Consider the following 21631-nt stretch of genomic DNA (forward strand, 5'->3'; position numbering starts at 1 on the left):
TTTTATTTTCTTAAAGGGTAGGGAAAAAGGAAAAAAAAAAAATCAAGCCAGATTTTCCAAAAAAGGGGGATATTTCTTTATAGAAATGAAGATGATTTACCTATGTTTAATATGCAAACAAAGGGTGTGTATGCTGAAAGAACCAACTTAATAACTGTAAGAAGCCTGCAACAGAGAAAAGCAGGAAAAAAAATGTAATGAATTTGTTTTTAAGTGGGAACAAAATTAAATACTTCGGTAAAATGCAATTACATATAAAACGAGTATTTTCCTATTTCAAATCTACTTCATTCATTTTAATGACCTAATTGGCTCTGCAGTTATTTGAGTTTGACCCCATATTTAGAAGCACCCCCATAACACAGCCACACAGGTCACCTACCCCTGCCCTACTTCTGTGGTCTGAGGAAGTAAACAACAAAGGCTGTCCAGACCAGCAGTGATTCTTTTCCACTTCCTTCCTCTTCCTGCTCTGAGCAGTAGTCTGCAAAGGTAAGAGCAACAGCTGTAAAAATTCCTATTAACTCTTCAACTCCATGCTTCTTCTTCCTACACAGGGCCTCTCTCACTAGATGCACAGAATGGCAAAATGCCCATATTAAGAGCTGAGGCCTCCCCTTGCTAATGTGGTTCTGTTCATTTTTCAAGGTCATAGGCCTTCAGTTACAGCTGCAAACATTCAGGACAGATCTTCAATCCCAGCCTTGACCCCTGTGGGAGGGAGCAGAGAGCCAGTTCAAGACAGCAGCCAAACCTAACAGAGGCATCTAGTTTGCACAAACATCATGAACAGATCAGTAGCTGCAGGGCGATGCCAAATGCTCTCAAGTTCTCAATTTTAGGAGAAAGGAAAGGAGGCTCTGATCAACTATGTCTGAGTCCAGTCTGAATCCCTAGGACTGATAACAGTTTAGATCAAGTCCCCAATAAATGTTTCCTTTATGCAGAATGTGGCTCTACTCTCTCTAGAGGCAGCAGACATCTCTCCTCAGCTCCCCGTCATTACTAAGGTCCAACCTCTAGTAAAAATGCTGCCTTGTCTTGTAGTTCACTAAGTAATTCCACATGGCTTCTCTTATTTCATTCAACCAGGAAAGTTGAAAGGTAGGTAGGGTTGTTTTTACTATCATTTCCAATTTACAGAAGGGAAAATAGAAGTGAGAACTTAAAAGTGCTTAGTGTGACATATTCAAAGTCAAAGAAAGAGTGCTGGGCCTCATGTCTACTACACTTTTATCCAGTCCACCATAAACTAGAAATATGAACAGGGAGATAACACTAAAAATCATGACACTGTAGCCCTTTATAGAGAAAAACAAGTTACCCAAAACAGATGTTCTGTAACAAAAGCCTTGTTAAATAATTGGGGAACAGAATTCAGGAAAAATTAAGATTTTCAAAATATTTTTATATAGAAATTTTTTACAAAGATTTTACAACATAGCAAATCATTATGTCATACTGTAGAAAGATGAAGCAAAGGATTAAACTCCAAGGATAAAGAAAGTGCTCATAGCAACGTATTGCAGTCTCCATGAAAGTGCATATAAACGGTTAAGGCAAAGTACCATCTTGGTACAGACATGTTGCAAACTGACTTTTAAAACAATTTTTTAAAATATATACAAACTTTTTTTCTTCTATTCTTCTCAAAGGCATTTGAAAGGGATACTTTTATGAATATTCTTGCTGTAGAACAATGTAGAAATAACTTCTGGGTATAAAACAGTAAAAATAAAAATATTCTACCTGAGTGTGTTAAATCAAGTGATTTGTAAAACAAAACCTTCACAAGTGTGGGCTTTCTACATGTAACTTGCCAGGCTGAAGGCTTACACCCTCATGTTCTACAACACAGATCACTAATGATGATAACATGAGTTAAATTGGGATTCTTGCCCTTCTGTGTGGCTTTTGGCTTCTAGGTTCTATGACCAAACTATTGACATATTTGAAGTCTGTATGCAGTCATTGTGTGATAAATCTACTTTACAGCTTTGCTTCTACCTGCAGCTTACATGATAACCATGCTGTGAAGTGCTACATATGCTTCATACAATATGTTGCCCCATCTGATAATAAAAATACAAAGGTGCTCTTTAAGCTAAACCATAAACCTTATTAGAGAATTCTAGTTAAGTGTTTTGTTTTTCCACATACATGTAAATACCTTAAGATCAATAGGATCAATAAGGATAATATTAGTTATCAAAATTTAGTCTTCATACTTGAAGAATTTGTTTTTAAAAATAACTAAGATGCAAAAAAATAAATTAGCTAGTCTTGAACAAGAGTGAGTTTTGCAGAAAACTGACATATCTGAATTCTAGTACAGATAAGAATCTGTCAAATGATAACTGAATTCACGTGACTAACCACTCTTTTACGTAAGATTGTATCTACTCATGAGAAATAGGGGAATTCAGTGTTATCATTATAGTCTCCGTATTTAAACTGAGTTTTTCTTTTCCAATTTTTTTTCCATGCCTCAACATAAGGGAAATTAATCAGTTAATTTCTGCTGACTTAGGTTTCCTAAACAGCTTTTAGTTCTCAAGGCACAGCTGTGGTAAAAACAGAGCAAAACACCCAGCCATTTATTGGAATTCTGCAGTACAAAATAAGCACATGTGCTCTATATAATCTAGTAACAGGATAGCAACAGTTAAACTGTCTCAAACAACAGATGTATTTGCTTGATTTTCCTTCCTAACTTCTTTTGCATCAGGACCGCAAGCAAAGAGCTTGTTTCCCAGAGTATTTTGGGCAAATCGGAAATACATAATGTGGCCCATTGCCACAAAGGAGACTGAAATCAATACGAGCAAGCCAAAAGCTTCAGGATTTGGAGCCAGGATGACCATGATGAAATGCAGAAGATCAAGAAGATAGTTCATGGAGTTCTGTACACCATTTATAATGCCTCTTTCAGATTCAATTACATTTTCTTGCAGCAACTGTGTCACAGTTAAATCAAAGGACCAAAGACCTATAATAAAATATTTTTTTAAAGATTAGATTTTAGTTTACAGGCATACATTTCAAATCACAGATAAAAATCTGTTGACATATGCAAAATATACATTTTAGCCTGACTGTCTTTAAGTCACCTTAAATATACCATAGCCTTGCCTTAAGAATTATTTTTCATAAATAAATATTGGGTTATTAGTGGCCTCAATAAATGATTTTTACAGTCATCAGACAAAAAGAAGTCTAATCTACAAACTTCTTAGTTCTGTTTTTCTGTGATTATTCATACTACAAAAACAAAACTTTGAAATCAGAGACATAATAAATCCTATTATAGTATAAGTACTAGTATTTTTTAAGTTTCAAATGACCTAATAAATGGTTATGGTTAAAGTGTAAGGAAACTTTAAACCATTGTTATATTACTGCTAGAGTTCTAAAGCCCAAACAATAAAGCTGTCTTGCCTGGAAATTAATATCTTCAATAAACTAATGAACTGTTTTGTATCACAAGATAAAAACAGTTTCATTTCAAGACTGAATTCAGAGATAATTCATCAGTACTCTATTAATTATTACTTAAATTTTGCTTTGTAAGAAGTCTTTATGTTTCCTTCCAGGGCTATAAAATCCATTTGTGTGGCAAACTATATAATAAATACATATTTGCTAGAGAAGACCTTTGAAGGATTTTTTTTATCACTTTCACATCTTCTTTTAAAGCCAAAAACATTACCTTTTTAGTGTTGTCCTATGGGAATATTTTCTAAACTACAGTTTTTTTGTTAAGGTTATTGCAATATCAAGACTCTACTAGATGGCAGTATAATTAATATAGCTAATATCTTTTATAAATTAAATTACATTTAAAAAGTAATCACTTGAGCTCAGTAATTCAAGACCACCTTCGGCAACATGGCAAAACCCCATCTCTACAAAACATACAAAAATTAGCAAGGTATGGTGGCACATGGCTGTAGTCCCAGCTACTTGGGGGACTGAGGCAGGAGGACTGCTTGATCCCAGGAGGTCGAGGCTGCAGTGAGCTGTGACTGCACCACTGCACTCCAGCCTGGGTAACAGAGCAAGACCCTGATCTCAAAAAAAAAAAAACAAAAAAAAAAACAAGTAATATTTAAGATATTCATTTAGAAAAAATTATTTTCAAGCCTGAACCATGTTTTAAGTATATGTATATAATAAAGTAAACAAATACAGGTTTTCAAACTATAAAATAAAAAACACAATAAATATAAAGTATAAATATGTAAAATAAAAATTTCGTAAGAGTGGATTTTGCTTAAATTAACATTTAGGGAACATTTCAGATCATTTATTAATGGATTCTCTGAACCTACATTACAAAAAGACACTTTAGTTCATTAATATATAAAAAGAGATTTCTTACCGATTCTAGCAGCAATGACGCCTGCAAACAGCAGACTGACAGAGATTATGGGCACAGATTCAGGACTTGTCTCCGGGACAATATTAGCAGAATTAGACCCATTAGACATGTATATTTCAGTTGTAATTTCAGGTATCTTGGTAGGTGTAATTGACTCTCCTTGAATGAACCTTGATCGGATATCTTCAAAAGGAGAAACGGACAAGTCCAGGGGGCTTCCAGGCATGAATACAGAGATCACACACAAGATCAAACAGGAAAGCTGTGCCAATCCTGAGATCAGACCTGTCCGAACCAAACCACATTTTCGACGTAGCCAAGTAAAAGCTACAGTTCCCATTATTCCAGTTATAGCTGATGCTCCCATCAAAATACTGAGGATGGAACCACTCAGTCCCTGAGTGTAGGCGTACCCTGTGGTGATGCAGTCAAAGCCCAGGACAGTCATATAAAGGAAAGCAAGACCCATGCCAGCCAGAAACACAGGCTGGTTGTAGTAGGAGACCCATCCATCTCGGAAGGTACGGAAGGGCTCAGCCATCTGGGAGGCACAAGTAGGCTCTTGCTCATGTTCAAGCTCATGGATGTTAGAGTCTTTCACACCCATTAGATGAGTTCCCTCCAGGGGTTTTGGCTCAGTATCTGTTAAGAAAAGATACCATTATTTTGTTGGGGAGGACATGTAGAAATAAAAGCCAATTATTAGTAGTACTTTTTTTCCTTCTATTCCCCTTCCCAATGGGTACCCTTGGTTAGACATTGTAATATGTATTTTCTTTTACTAATAATCTAAGAATTCCAGCCAAGGAATAATCATCAAGTGTCATTTTTATTAAATAAACAAAATACTATTGATCTATCCCTCTTTTTTTTCTCTCTCTCTCTTGCTCTTAGAAATTATACTCCCACCAAAGTAAACAGCAGGAAAACTCACCAGATAAAATATTAAAATTGTCTAAAAAAACACAGCGTATTGGCCAGGCACGGTGGCTCACACCTGTAATCCCAGCACTTTGGGAGGCCGAGGCGGGCAGATCACGAGGTCAGGAGATCAAGACCATCCTGGCTAACATGGTGAAACCCCGTCTCTACTAAAAATACAAAAAATTAGCCGGGTGTGGTGGTGGATGCCTGCAATCCCAGCTACTTGGGAGGCTGAGGCAGGAGAATGGCGTGAACCCAGGAGGCAGAGCTTGCAGTGAGCCAAGATCGCGCCACTGCACTCCAGCCTGGGCGACAGAGCGAGACTCTGTCTCAAAAAAACAAAAAACAACCAGCATATTATTTTCTGGGTCCCTGCAGAGCTGGATAAAAGATTCTGTTTACCCAGAAGCCCAGCGTCCTCTTCTCCAGTGAAATACCCATCTTTGTGTCCTCACTCCCTTCCACTGTCCTACAAATGACTACATAACTCCCTCCTCACAGAGTCCAAGGGATTCTCTCATTCTCTTTTTTTCCCCACATTTTTTCCCAGTCCTATGACTTAGCTTTGCCCAGCTATCTCTCAAGTAAAATTGAACCTCTATAACTACTGCTCACATCAAGGAAGAGGGCTAGGGGACCCATTCTAACCCCACCAGATTCAACCCGGAGTTTTTCCCTAGATCCTCAAAAGCCTGCTCTTGCCTCGTCTACCAAAGCGATATATTTAACCTCATCTGGCCCCCACTGGTAATAAAACCTGATACAAATTCAAAATAGTTTTGATCTTCACCAACATTTAAGGTCTGAACATGAGAACAAAAGGAGAGATCATTGTGTTCAGTTTACCTTTGTGTAAATTCAGCTGTTTCAATTCAGTTTCCTCTTCTTTAAGACCAGCTTTCACAGCTAGAGCTGGGGTTTTCTGGTAAACCTTCCAGAGCAGAACGTACTCCACGCACATGGATACCAAGTTCCATCCCGAAATAAAGCCACAGCCGATGACTGGGGAGCCAAATGTCATAATCTGGCCAACAGCCATGGGGGCTAAGATGTTGGTTAACTGGTCAATCCTTCGTATTGTGGCATTCATATCTAGAGAGGCAGGTGAAAGAGGCAGGTAAGTGTGCAAACCCATCAAAGAGAGACTGCCCATTTACACAATACAAAGCTGTAAACCAAGAGTATAGATTCCTAAAATGTGGTTTTCTAAAAGTACATTTGTAAGAAAGACATTTTGTTGGAAAAATATTTGTTGTTTGGGTCAAGTCCCACTAAATTTGCCTCAACAATGATAATCCCCTTGGAATTGCATAAATCAGTCTAATAGCTTTTTAAAATGAATACAGCAGTGACTCTACATTCATTTTTTTCAACAAATATATCTTAAATGCCTATTATAAGCTAGTCATTATTCTCAACAATTCTTAACACTATAAAGAAGAAAAGTAACATTCTTCCCTGTCTTCACAGAGTTTATATTCTCACAGGAAAGAAAAGACAATAAATCAACAAGCATATGTGTGTGTGTGTGTGCGTGTGTGTGTGTGTGTATACACACACAAACACTGCATATGTCAGATGTTTATTAAATACTATGGTGAAAAGTAATGAAGCAAAAGGGCAGAGAGTGCCCAGGGGAATGTTCTAAATAAGGCGAGGTCAGAGGACTCACTGAAAAAAAGAGCATCACAGCAACGAGAAGCACTGAAAAGAAACACTAGCTTGGTCACAAGAGAGATTCTGGAGACCTCAAAAAAAGGAGAACGATAAGGGCAATGCCTGAATAAAGCTGATTTAAGAGACTGGTGCCAACCCCAGGGGACACCATTTGTATTTTCAGTGAGTCATACCCTGGAGCACAATGTGAATGCTTCCCATGGCCTTATGGAAAGCAAGGTACTGCCCAAAAAATGGAATTGGAAATAGACAAGTCTTTTGGATATGTTTTGACAAAAAGAAGAACAAAGAAATAGAGTAGCAGAGAAGGAAGTGTGCTAAAGATAGGGATTTTTAAGAGGAGCAAAATTAGAGCAGGATTATGTGCTGCCTGGAATGATACAGTAGATAAGGGATGTAATCTGAATCTACCGCATAACTGAAGGAGTTGCTCTTAGACAGGAACACAATTCATCAATAGTAACAAGAGTAGAGACCACATATATGGCTTCAGGTACAGGTAGGAAGAGAGACATGATGGTGGAATCACATGGAAGCTTTCTTCTCATTTATTCCATTTTCTCAGCAAAATACAAAGCCAGGTCATTGACGAAAGTGAGGATGGGGGAGGAGGACTTGAACATGTGATGAGAGAGGAGAAACAACTGTGAATGGTCCTCTAGGAAAGTGGAGAAGGAAAGAATCAGAGAAAATAGTGTGATTATCTGGAAGCATGAAAGGACCAACTCTGTGGCCCTGAACCTCAAGTGAGAATGCTGAGCAAGTTCGTGCATTTTTTTCCAGCCATGCTCTACTGTGGAAAGTTGGATTTAACCAAAGTCTTACCAAACAAAAGTGACAAAACGAGAGGGGGCCAACTGAGCTGAGGGTATATGCCAAGAGATGATCATATAATCATGACTGGCCTTGAATTTTAAGCTGGGTAAGAAAGAGACAAGAGAGAGATCATGGACAGTGAAAAGGCCGTGGAATGAATGGTTTGTAGGTGCCAACCACATGGATTGTTGAGGCTGTGGTAGTGAAGAAGTTGGTGGAAAGACAGAAGGTGATTTCTCAAAATATGGATGCCTAAGACTGAGATTATGGGAGGAGAGAATTTAGTGGTGATAACAAAGTCTAGAGTTTGACTACGGGAATGTATTCCTGAGTCAGAGTGCAGGACAAAATCAATAAAGAGGAAGTTAAAAAAATGTCCAACACAAAGAAATGATACATGTTTGAGATGATGGAGATGTATCTCCATCTCATCTCATCACAACATGACTATGTACTCCATAATAAGCACAATTATGTGTCAGTATAAAAAATTAATTAAAATAAAATAAAACCAAAAGTTTTAGGACAAAAAGAAAGTGAAGAAAGTGATCTACTTTTTCACTTCCTGTCTCACAGAACAGAGTGAAAATTAGTGAGACAAGTCTTAAGCAATCATTTGGGTCACCTTAACAGAAAAACAATACGTGACGAAGAAGTACATTAACAGAAGATTGCCTTTATTCCTTCTGTAATTCTTCCTGGTCCTCAATTGCTTTCCAATTAGCCCTATGAGTATATATTGCATATATGATAACAGGAGAACTTTGACATATTTCACCTTTCACTTGAGAGGCAAAGGCAGCCTTCATTGATCTTACACTTGACTGCCACCGCAGAGGTTTCACTACCATCTGCCTCCCACTAACTAATAAGTTTCCAACTCATATGCCAACAGAGAAGTGTGGAATTTATCCAAATAACTCAATAATTGGAATCCAAAAAGCAAGTAACTAAAGAAAACATATATTTGAATCTTAAAGTCCCAGAATGACAACAACAAATTATTTTAGTTAAAATTATTTCTTACCCTTTCACTACTTCAGTTTTTAAGAGCTCACGGAGCTTCCCAATGTCACCAATTTCCATCTTTTATATTATACTTAGAAAGTTAATAATATGTAGGTGTCAGTAGAAATGTTGTATTAAAAAACAGCTTTTATTTTTCTGATGCAGAATGGATAATTAAAAAAAAAAAAAAAAGACTTAGGCCGGGTGCAGTGGCCCACGCCTGTAATCCCAGCACTTTGGGAGGCCGAGGCGGGTGGATCACGAGGTCAGGAGATCAAGACAATCCTGGCTAACACAGTGAAACCCTGTCTCTACTAAAAATACAAAAAAATTAGCCGGGCATGGTGGCGGGCGCCTGTAGTCACAGCTACTCAGGAGGCTGAGGCAGGAGAATGGCGTGAACCCAGGAGGCGGAGCTTGCAGTGAGTTGAGACTGTGCCACTGCACTCCAGCCTGGGTGACAAAGCGAGACTCCGTCTCAAAAAAAAAAAAGACTTAATCATCTTACTGGTAGCAGGCTAGAAAAGAATCAGTCTTATGAATATGCAAATATACGCTCTTTACCAATTTATATTTAGTCTTACATAAGCACACAAATATGTGTTGATTTGATTCCAATTTAACTGTTCTCAGCTACAGCTGTGGCACAGAACATGACATTAAATAACTACTTCTATTATAATGGGTATATTACATCCATAGAAGAAAAATTCTTTTAAATTTCCTAGCAGTTTTGTCTACTTCATATATGAAATCGATTTTTAATCAATACCACACGAACACAAAATTTATCTGCCATACTTGATCAAGCTAACTGGCAGATTATTTTTTAGCATGATGGGCAAGAAAAATCTCAGAAGATACTAATAAAGAGTGATCCTCAAAAGAAATGGAGGAGGAAAAAAAGCAATAGATGGAGTTAAAAAGCCTGGGAAAAGGAAGTAAGATTCAAACGTGGCACAAGAGAATGTTATCATAAAACACTGTACTAAATCAAGCACCTAGAAAGTACCTAAATTAGTTAACTGGTTAGCAGTATTCATGAGAAAAATAAAACACCTTTTCTGGAACTTTCCAAACTGGATAATGACTGCTGTATTTTGGCCTGATGCCACTGAAATTCTAAAACTTTTTAACCTTGGCAGGGAAAATTCCTCCTTTTCTTTTACCCTCAGTGATACAGCTTCTAGTTTTAAAACAATCTCTAAAATTAAGAAACACTGTGATGAGGAAATGGGAGCAATCAGCATCCAGCTCAAAACTTTTACTTTTCATGGGCATACCCCTCCCCTTTCACCCTCTAAACATATCACAAACAGGTGAAGCCTTCCTGGCCTAGGCCCCTACCTGGGTTTCTTTGCCACAACCTCAAAAATCAGCCTGCATAAACACAAATCCTTCCTGCCTGGAGTAGGTGGGTCTGTGTATAAGAGACACAACCTCATAGGAACCCAAGGCAGCAGGTGGAGTCCCTTCTAGATGTACTTTCCCCCTTCTTTGTCCCATTTTTCCTTTATCCTCCTCCTTTTTCTCTGTTCTCCTTTAACTCTGCAATAGCAGAAATGGCACAAAAAATCCACAATTAGATACTTTCTGACCTTCAGAACTAAAGAAGTTTCTGTTTCCTGTTTTGAAACATGCAGAAAGTTTTCCTTCACTAGTCCACCAGCCCACACTGCTGGCTGGATGTGAAAGAGCACCACTTACTAAAAGCTAATGTAGAGTGGACAAGAGTTCAACAAACATCTCACTTCCTTTCCTACTTGAAAAACATCAGAAAGTTAGAAAAAGACTGAATAGCCTAGATTCTTCCACTCTGCAATAATTCATAATATAAAGACAGACAGCTGAGAAACGACCAGTCATATTTTTGTTGTTATTCTTGGACATCACTTCATAGAAAAATCCCAGAGTTATGTGGCATGTTTGCAGTTATATTTATATGATGTGTGTATATATATGTATGTATATATATACACACCTATATATGTATGTATATATATATACACACCTATATATGTATGTATATATATATACACACACCTATATATGTATGTATATATATACACATCTATATATATGTATGTGTGTATATATATATGTGTATATATATGTGTGTGTGTATATATATATCTTAGGACAAGTTAAAGATTCTGGCTAACTTTCTTTTTCATATTTCAGACTTTGCAGAGTCAAATGAGTTAGTTAAAATCAGTTAAGTGAAAGAAAATAATTTTATTTTCATTTTATCTATAGCTGCTGCACAAATCACAGAATAATCATTGTAAAAGTCAACTTTCTTCTCTAAGTATATTCCAACAAATATATGTGTGATCTATTGTCAAAATATATCCTTTTGTACCCTTTGAATTTTAAAACATGGATATATTTTACATGCTTTAAGTAGTTTGTTAAAAAGAGAAAGTAAACAAAAAAAGACAAAGCCTTATCATCTAGTTCAATGTGACAAAAAAGACATGAAATTATTCCTCATTATAAATGATCACAGGAAGAAAAGTAAATGAGAATCATGATTTTAGCTCCAGAGAGAATTTCCTGTGATACAGATTCACACATGCTAAATTCATCTTACATACACACCATCCTTTAAATCAATCACTGTGGAATTTCTAACTCAATAATAATACTGCAACCACAAAGTGATGATTCAGGCAAATTCTTCTTCTAGACCTTCCACAGACTTTGTTCTCCTTCACTCACCCCTCCTTTCTAACTTTTTTTTTAACCAAATGGTCCAAACAAAGCTGCTTGCTAACCCCAGCACATAATCTTGCCTTCTGTATCCTGGGATATGCCATTTAAGTCATCAAGAATGGTTTACTTGTCTGTCAGGACAGTTGGGCAATGTGTTTGTTATACCCATTATCTCAGTGATCAGCAGAGTTGACTCAGCTGATCTGACAGGTAGGGAGGTGTACCCTTCCTCCTTACACAGGGGAATTGTAATTCCAATTTGTGTCAATCCAAATTGTGTCTGTGTGTCATATGAGGGGACGGCAGGCAATAATGAGTGAGGGAGGTTATTCTGAGCCTAAGTAATATTGACAGAATAGGACATGTTGCCTTGTAAGCATTCTTCAGATGTTCTTTGACCACTTGTTTATATTCCCAATGAACAACTAAGATGGTAAGCTTCTTAAAAACTATATTCTGTCCTCTATTTCTTTGGTATTTGTAACAGCAATTATATTACATTGTACATAATGTAATAAAATTATAGATTATAACTTTAAGATGGAAGAAATTAACTTCTAGAGTCTCTCCTACAATTGTTTCCATTTGATTTAGAGAAAAATAACATCCATATGATTGATAAGCACCAGTAATAACATTCATAGGTATGACCAGTAAAATCTCATGTCAGATTTGCACTGTTCTAAGTATAAACATTTAGAAAGTTGATTGAATTTTTTTTTAAAAAAAAAAAAGAGGAAAGAAAAGTTATTCCATTTGCCAAGTTTGTGTAGGATAAAAGAGAAGTTAGCTATCCTATAAGTTAACTTCGTAACAGTGAGATAAATCAGCACTAAAACTGACAATAAGGTAAGAAAAAAAGTATGCTTTCAATTTATCATTCTTAAAAAATACCCAGAACAAAAATACAAGGCTTACAGCCTCATTTATCACCACCGATTTAAAGTGAATCCTAACATGCTCATTTCATTAAAAGAGAAAGCCAAATTACTTGCTAGTTTGCTTCTGTCTTCTCCTGCAACAACAACAATCCAATCCCTTTGGATTGTGATTGCAGTAGCAGTACTGGCCAAATTTGCAATATTTGCAATAGTGATGATCAGGATATAGCAGGAAGTCTAAAGAATGACAAGAAAAAAATGAGTTATAATGTCAGTTTACCACACTGTACATATGTCACTAAACAAGGCAGTTTAAAATAGTCTTTGGTGGAATGATAAAAAAAGTATTTTAATTTCATTTATAAGAAATCATTTTACGTTATAGATATGAAACTGAATGAATACCAGTAGTCAATGGGCATAATGTCCTAACCTGTATCATCTAGATCATCTGTAGTACACATAATACAAAAATTATAATAGTCAGGTGAATACAGTTATAAAATGTTAACACAGTGGTGGTTTTGAACATTTCTCCCACAAATATTGCCTTTGAAAAGAATGTTGAAGGGGAATTGAAAACACCTGTATTTAAGTCAGAGTTCTGACACCTTCTAGTTGCATGACAATGGGCAATCAACTAACGTTCACTTTGTCTTAATTTTTTCAATAAAATGAAGGGAATAGGCTCAAAGATTTCTAAAGTCCTACCTGGCTTTGCAACTCTATAATATCAATCCACATATACACAAGAAGATTCAATATGACACCAGATGCATGGTTTATACCACACCCCATCCCTCTCCTCTTTTCCATCAAGCTCTTATGAAATCACAACATGAAAAGTTATCTGGTTGACATTCCCAAACAGAAGTAACAATTATTATTGGAGGAACGCAATTATGACTGACTAATATAGATATGGATAACATTTATTAAATAGCACAAACAAAGTATAGGTCACTAAAAAGCTGAAAACAAACAACTGAATTCTATAGTAAACTCTTAGAAATGCCATTAGAAACCAATAGGACAAAATTTAAATTCAAACAATACTTAATGAGTGCCTGTTGTGGGCAAAACAACAACAAAACAAACTATAGGGGATATTACAGTAGACACAGAAATCAATATTAAAAGGTCACACTGGCCAAAAAAAAAAATAGCTTCAAAGCATTTTCATCCTTTACCACTACCAGATATTCAATTTTCTGCCATCAAGAATCTCATTGAGAACTTACGAGAACCCATCCATGGTACATGGTCAGAAGCTCATGTTTATGTAAGAAAACCATCATCAGGATGATTCCACACAGGATGACTGAAACATTCTGTACCACCAGCGAGGTCTGGGCCACTGTGCAGAGGAAGAGAGAAAGTGTACATTACATCAAAATGTCTCAGTGAGACTGTTCTTATCCACACATAATTGTTCTACTATAATACATTAATACACAGACCTAATTATTACCAGATAAAAAGAAAACCTTTCTGAAGTCAGTCCTGCCTCAACTACTCTCAATACAACCCAGAGGATCACACCAGACCAGTAAATATGCAAACAAAATGATGAAGTACCACAAGTTTCTCTGTTCACTGAAGTCTATCATAATGACTACATTTTCATTTAGTTTATCTTCTTGAAAGTTTAACATAAATGGAGCTGTAGTATGATATAGACATGATCCACATTTCAGCTCTTTGTTGCTTAAGGTAAAACAATAACATGTATGAGGTTAAAGAGGAAGTTATGAAATCTACAACCTCCTACATGGCAGGCTGAATCTGATAATATGGTTTACCTAAATAGAAAAGACACACAAAAATTTGCCAAGAATAAAGCAGCAGTGTATTTCTTTGCATACTAATGCTATTTGCCATTGCTACGAAATTCTAAGCTACCCCTTCCATCACAGATGGCAATTCTCTTATGAGGCGCCCATATAGATAAAGCACTGGAGTAAGGACAGATAAAGACACCTGGTAGCCTTTTCTCTGCCACTCAGTAGGCAGATGATCTAGGGCAGGATACCTAACATCTCTTACGCCTGCGTCTAGAAGGTGAGAATGGTAATACCTGTCTTCCTTACTTTATAGGGTCATAATGATGCTCAAATAAAACACTTACGAAAGCAGTTTGGAAAACATGAAGTTCTATATGTAAGGGATAATTACAGCTCTTGTCTTCAAGGATAATATAGTTCATCCTTGCTTGGAAGGTCTTGCAAGAAAAAATAAGCTGCTTACTGAAAGCAGTCTGATATAAAATCCCAACATATTCATTCATTCACTCATGCATTCATTCACTGGATAAGGATCAGATGTCAACTAAATAAGGTTCTTAGCTTTTGGGACCCTACAGACCAGAAGAAGAAAAGATATGTGAACAGATCATTATATCTGTGTAAGAGCAGAGGTGGTAACAAAGCCTCATGGGAACACAGAGGAAGAAATGGTAAATTCAGCCCAGAGGTATCAGGAAACATTTTTCATAAAGAGTAATGTATGAGTTGATTATATAGGATAAGTGGGAAATTGTTATCCTACCACACTTTTCTTCATCCAATTCAATATTCTTTCCTAATCTATGATTGCAGTGCTCAACAATCATTAGATTAAAAGTTTCTATGTATAATATTCCTATGTTCCTATGTATAATGATGCAAAGAAGTAAATTTTTTTCTAGATTACAGAACTTTTCTCTATATGTGTTCTGGTCTACTCATTCTAAAAACAGAAATATGTTCACCTTGACCATTTTCCTAGTAGCATCAAGTCCTAGAATTTGATAAGCCTGTTGCTCTGTGTCCAGAAGCAGTCATCTCGCACTGAAAGAATGAAACCTCAGTCTTTTGCCAACATCTAAGTCAGGCATGGTCAGGTCTTGGCATTATCAACTGAGCAATTCAAGAAAATTTACCCTGAATGATCATCCATATTTCCCTTATATACTGGAAAATTTAATTGATCAATTACTTTCTTTCCTGTATAAAATGACATGATTTCAGTACTAATGCTTAGAATAAATATCAAGATATTATTATTTCTTCTTTTTCCCTACAAAATTTATAATTCAGCTCTTTGTGATCCAGGCTCAACTATTCTGCCTTGAAGCTATTCTTAGTTTTCAATTCCCTTATACATACTCTTACATGAAACATAGTAACCAAAGAACAGATGTTAAAGCTGTCTCAGGAACATCACACTAAAGGGACTCCAGTACAAGATACAGTTAGGAAGCCTGAGTTAAGCAAACTTTTAATGTTTAACATGGTTCTCAGAGAAGTGCTACAAGGTTAATCATTAACATATGAAATTTATGAACAGCCAAAGATACAAAAAAATCTATTAGGTCAATGTCCAGGCATCCCAACTTTGTGTGGGAGCCATGGGACCCTCCATCCAGAGGTGGTGCCATCTAAGCCCTCCTCCCTCAAGTGTGGCATGCAGACATTCCCTGGTTGTTTCTCTCCTAGTTTGTTGTTTCCTTTGCTACAGAGGTAGCTCAGGCATTGGTCCCATGAATAAAAGGGCTTAATTATATAACAACACTCACCTTTAAGTCTAGCATTCTTGTCCACCCAGTCACCGATGATGGCTCCCAGGACCAGAACAGACCCTGCCACCACCAGCCCGTAGACTGCTGTCAAAAGGAGGCTGTTTCCATAGAGCTCTACCAGAAACACAGACACCGCAAAGTGCCACATCCGATCTCCCTTAAATGAAAAGAGAAAATGTTTTGATGGAATATTTTTCGTTTCTAGTCTATTGTACTCAGGAAGTTGCTTCCTTATCAAAAGGGCACTTCCTGGCTACATTATGAGACTTTCAAAGTCAGTAATTACTCTTAGATTGAATACTGCTCAGATGTTAAAACGTTCATCCCAGCACAATGGAAAATATTCTTGCCCAATTATTAAGTAAACTTGAAAAGGCATGATATTAATGAACCGCACATTCTCTTTTTCATTCTAGAAACAAAATGCAGTTTCCAGACCCAAGATGGCTTTTTGAGACAAAAACGTGTTCTCCTGTGTGTCAGGTTTCTCCTGGGGCCTGGAATTTGCCTATCTTGATTGCAGAGGCATAAAGTAGTTTGCTATTGAACCAGAAATCAATTACAGTACAGTTCACAAACATTAGTATACCTTGAGCATCAAGAAAAAGCCAGTTTTCCAATTTGTAAAATGATGGGAATGGACCATATGATCTCCAAGTTTTCTTTCATGTCTAATATCCTAAAACCTATGAGATTTCATAAAGTCATAATTCGAAAGTCATAAAACAGCAGAGCGATTGGAAAGAGGAGTAGTAACAGCAAATTCTGGCACTGCATAAACAGTGATGTCAGAAATAAACTTAAATGCCTAAGTAAGTAGTTACGTTAACATTTTAATACAGATGAGTTTTGAAAGGGGGAAAAAGCTACTTATTTCTTCACACAAACTCCGGAGAATATAGGGAATTTTGGAGTTCATTACCGTGAAATGTGATTTAACAGAAACTTTTAAGTGAATTAGGCAAATTAATGTCTTAAAAAATCTACAGTGGACCTTATTATGAGATTTTAGGCTCCATCCCTGACTTCTGAAATTAACATTAAGGAGGACAACCATGTTCCATCATAACTTATCTCTGGGAATCCCTATAGGAAACCAAATTCCAGGCCTCATAGATTTGACCCTACAGAAATACTTCTACTCCTAGTTCTTCCCAAAGTCTGTTAACATCTTCATGAAAAAATCCATGTATTAGAAGCAAATACTATCCTGGTATGTCAAATAATTTTAAAAATTTAATGAAGCCAAGATAATAATTTTATACATTCAAAACTTAAATTGATGCATGTTAGCAATCATTTACAAAAAAACTTCCTGTAGACCAGTAGTTCTCAACTAGAGATGACTTTGCTTCTCCTACCCCCACCCCACCTCCCCGGGGATCATTTGGCAATGCCTGGAGTAATTTTGAGTTGTCACAACAGCAAGGGGGTGGAGCTGTTACTTAATCTTTAACCTGAAAAGCAAATTTAGATTTGATTAGGATAAAATGGGATAGGGAGAGGGGAGATACTTTATTCTAATCTCCATTCCTCTGAATAGCTCCCAAGGAAAAGACAAAAACACACACATGTCCCAAATGATAGGTTGCCTCTGTCAGAGAGTTTTCTCTTTCTTAACATACAGGTTAAGAAACACTTTTCTAATACTGTTGTTTCTTTCTTTTTTTCTTACTCTTATTGTATTTTTTAATTGTCTTAGAGTCCTCTAAAGCAAGACATCAAGACAAATGCTATTAAAGTTTTGAATCTTGCTTTTTCTTGCATGCCATACCACCTCTTTGATGGAAAGAAAGAAATTGCTCACATTACCCCAATTTCCAACGGGCTTAGGCTTTAAGAAGCAACAGATTCTATGTTTACAAAAAGCCCAATATTTGGGTAAAGTCTATGTAAATATTGACCAAGTGCCCATCCTTCCTTATTTCCATTTCTTGCCTTCCCACCAATTCTCACTAAACTTGGATGACCTATTTATGTGTCCATGTACCCCCACGGGACTGAGAGCTGAAGGCAAACCTAATAACTGTCAATGAATGATCATGGTCCTCAATCCACTTAATACTTACTAAGTGGCTACTATGTACCCGACATTTGCAAGCACTAGAGCTTCAGCAGCGCACAAAAGGTTTTCATGCAGCTCACATTCCAGTGAGCACAGACCAAAAGCAAATCTAGCACAGGGCACGTGCTGCTATGAGGAAATATAAAGTAGGATGGAGCTGGTGGCAACAAAGGCCTCCATGAGCAAAGTGAGCCTCTGGGAAACGAGGGCTGGAGAAATGCAGACATATTGGGGTTTAAATGGAGAGAGTTTGTAAGATCATGTTATCAGATATAAGCAACTGGCCCCTCTTTTTCACTGTCTTACACTGTCATCTTTTTGTTATTAGATATCTTTTTTAAAGCCCATACTAAATTGTATTATAAGCTCCTTGACAATAGTATCCACTTTTTTTTTTTTTTTTTGAGACAGGGTCTTATTCTGTTGTCCAGGCTGGAGTGTAGTGGTGTGATCACAGCTCACTGCAGCTTCAAACTCCTGGGTTCAAGCAATTCTTCCACCTCAGCCTCTCAGTAGCTGGGACTACAGGTGTGTCTCATGACACCTGGCTAATTTTTAAATTTTTTTTTGCAGAGACAGAGTCTCCCTATGTTGCCCAGGCTGGTCTCAGACTCCTGGGCTCAAGGAATCCTCCTGCCTCCCAAAGTGCTAGGATTACAGGCATGAGCCACTGCACCTAGCCAGGATCCACTTCTTACACTATATTGTATTTTGATAATATAGAGTAAAATGCATTGATCCATTGGCAGATAGAAATGAAGTCAGAAATAAAAGGCATTCAACCCCACACAAAACTAACCTGAGGCAACCTTCTACTCTAATGCCCCTACGTTCAGTGCATAAGAAATCATGACTTGGCAGGGTGGGACGGAAAATGCATATATATATAATACATATACACACACACATAATACAGAAACATAAATGTTTTGTTGTAACAAAATCAGGCAGAGTGCCACACAAGAGAAAAAACATAAAAAGCATAATTACCTAGTGTTAGAGACATTCCTCTTTTGCACTCCTTTGCAGCGGAAAGGAGTAAAAATCCACTAAACCTTATATGATTGTAGTTGCTGCTGTTTGTTTAATCCAACTTTCTCATGAGAACTTCCTTTGCTTGACTTACTGTAAAGTTGGGATAAGCATGTGTCACCTTTCTTGTGGGACTTTTAATGAACATGACAAAATATCCTCCTGGAACAACCACGGTGCCACTGGTTTTCTGGCAAATCTGACCTCCTAACCTATTAACCAAAGGTCACATAAACCATAATCAGAACTTGGAAGAGAGGCATCTTCTTCCTCTAAGAGCAAGGCCAGACCACAGGCTGAGAATTTCAGATACTATTCCCATCACATGTTATTAATACTTAATATTTACTGAATTAAACTGGGGGAACAAACTATTGCTTTTTATTTATTAAGGGTTGTTTCACTAGGTTTCTACTTAGCATCATCAGCTGTTGGAATTAAAACAAACTCACACCAATTCCACTTTGTTTACATGTATTTGCAGAGTCACCCCTGTGTAAGCCTCTGGTAAGATAGGAGCTTGCTTTTCTAAAATGTCATCTATAAACTGCTATTTCTTAGAGAACCAATAATGTAGCTTAACAATTTCTCAAAGGTATTGGGTATAGATTTCCTCTTCCAGTGGTTTCCATCCATGTCTTAAGGATGATCCAATATAAGTTTCCAATTTAAAAGGAAAATAACATTCAAAAAATTTACTCTCAAAATTCTTTCCATTCTTTTTAAATACATATGAGCCATGGACAGAATATAGCCAGATTTATTGCTTTTAAACAATAATTGTTTAATGTTAAAGATTCTAATCATCACTGAACATATATCTAGCACCCTTCTAGTTTATTATTTTTCGGAGAGAGTTTTAGGAGCCCAGATCTACAGAAACACTAGGTCTTTTCCAGGACAACCTAGAAAGTCAGAGGGAAAACTGTAAATCCATTGCTGATATTCATTGGATGATTAATTTTAAGATAGCCTCCACTGCCCCAAACTTTATCTAACTATAGATAACATTTTTAAAGACCAGAATTTTTGTCACTCAGATATTTGTTCTGGGGGTCATTTATGTTTCAATTAATCTTAGAATGTTATTATTAGCTTAAGTCAGTCACTCTACCATTCTATTGTATTCTCATGGTGCTGCACGCTGGAACTAAATTTTAACAAAAAAAGAAAACAAAATATTTTAAAATGTGAAGAAGAGAAGGTATATGAGACATCCATCCATCTTTTGTAGCAGATATGTCTATTTACCAAAGCTACTAATGCAACATAAAATTTAAAAACAAGGCAAATATTCCTTTCCTTGATAATCTTGTCTGGATAGTTGTCTATCTACATAAACTACGATGATCTGATAATTAAGTTGCATTAACTAACACTCATGGGGAAAGATCTTCGATGTAAATAACGTTTTCATTAAAGCATGTGTACTTGGATGATTTATTTCTTTAACTGCTTGACAAAACTGGAAGTTGGCTTAATACAACTGGCTAGAACGAAAGGAAATAAAAAATTGCGCAACTGTGTTGTAAGACTATGCATTCTCACTTACCCAAGTAGAGAGAGAATGACCAAGGTAGAGAAGGAATTTTGCAGAGGTCAGGTAGTCGGCCAAGGATCCTGCAAAGACACAGGCGGGGTGACAAAAAGCGATGGTAGTCACTTAATGAGCTGAGGGCAGAATGCTTATCCATTTGATCTCATTAGAACATGATTATTAAAAACTACTTTGCAGGACAAACCACGTACATTTTATCAAGTTACCTATGAACCGATGTATTTCGTTCACTTAATACCATTCACTAAATTCAGTTATTGACCTAGTCAATAACTGCCCAACTTCACATTTCACATACAGTGAAGAAACTCTTGTTTCAGCATTCTTTTTTGGGTTGGTTGGTTTGTTTGTTTTGTTTCTTTTTTACACAAGGCAATCCAAACTGCCCAATCTACTCCATCCGTGCCTGTGTGCAAACCCCTTTTCCCACACCCTGAATTTCCTTTCTTCCTTAACGTCCACCAAATATGAGTCAAAGGATCTTTTTACAAAGCTATGGTTCACAGCAGAGCCACATTCCTCCAGAACTCGTGTAGAGTTGCTTGTCTCCAAAGCCCCACCTGGGTTTCCACCATATGCTTTCGGTCAACGACACTCACCACAGCATCCTCTCTGGCGGTTGTGATCTCCCGCCCTGGTCATGACACTAGGCGACCCCGCTGGCTCTTCTGCGGCTGCTATCGCTGCTGCTGCTCTCGCTGAGGTGCTTGTTAACAGGAGTGCAAGGAACTGGAGATAGCACCTCTAAAAACACAACAGCCTTGGGCAAAAAGACTACAACGACGACTTTGGCAAAGAACAAAAGAAAAGGGGCCCAGGGATTTTCTTTTTTCCTTCTTTCCAAACTTAGCTAACACTGTAGCTGAAGTTGGAAAGGCAAAGCCTTATGGAAGCGGTTTGGGAGGCTCAGCAGGTCGTCCGAGCCTAGCGGACGCCCTGAGCCAGCTCTCTCCGCCGCCGCCGCCGCCGCCGTGGGCCGGGCCCAGCTCTTATACCGAGTCGGGGGCGGAGCTCC

The 21631-nt window shown here is 37.2% G+C and overlaps 1 protein-coding gene across 2 annotated transcripts, besides 1 other annotated feature; it reads right to left on the bottom strand.

The window, feature by feature from the left end:
- Nucleotides 1388-21584, bottom strand: SLC40A1 (solute carrier family 40 member 1). 2 transcript variants are annotated; one of them, NM_014585.6, is made up of 8 exons: nucleotides 21216-21584; nucleotides 20611-20678; nucleotides 15959-16118; nucleotides 13644-13759; nucleotides 12513-12639; nucleotides 6152-6397; nucleotides 4382-5023; nucleotides 1388-2989 (listed from the first exon to the last, which is right to left on the bottom strand). In NM_014585.6, exons 1-8 carry the CDS (start codon nucleotides 21256-21258, stop codon nucleotides 2676-2678), a joined length of 1716 nt encoding a protein of 571 aa, NP_055400.1. In that variant the 5' UTR covers nucleotides 21259-21584; the 3' UTR covers nucleotides 1388-2675. The 2 variants fall into 2 exon arrangements, with proteins under 2 accessions (NP_055400.1, XP_047300022.1); XM_047444066.1 differs by lacking the exon at nucleotides 21216-21584 and adding an exon at nucleotides 19017-19151 and having other exon boundaries at nucleotides 20611-20659.
- Nucleotides 21538-21597: a silencer, noted in NCBI's record as "silent region_12170". NCBI's record gives its function as "represses an Ori minimal core promoter by ATAC-STARR-seq in GM12878 lymphoblastoid cells {active_cell/tissue: GM12878}" and the evidence as "EXISTENCE:reporter gene assay evidence [ECO:0000049][PMID:35858748]".

This window comes from Homo sapiens, chromosome 2, assembly GCF_000001405.40.
Source record: "Homo sapiens chromosome 2, GRCh38.p14 Primary Assembly".
In the NCBI taxonomy this organism is placed as follows: domain Eukaryota; kingdom Metazoa; phylum Chordata; class Mammalia; order Primates; family Hominidae; genus Homo; species Homo sapiens.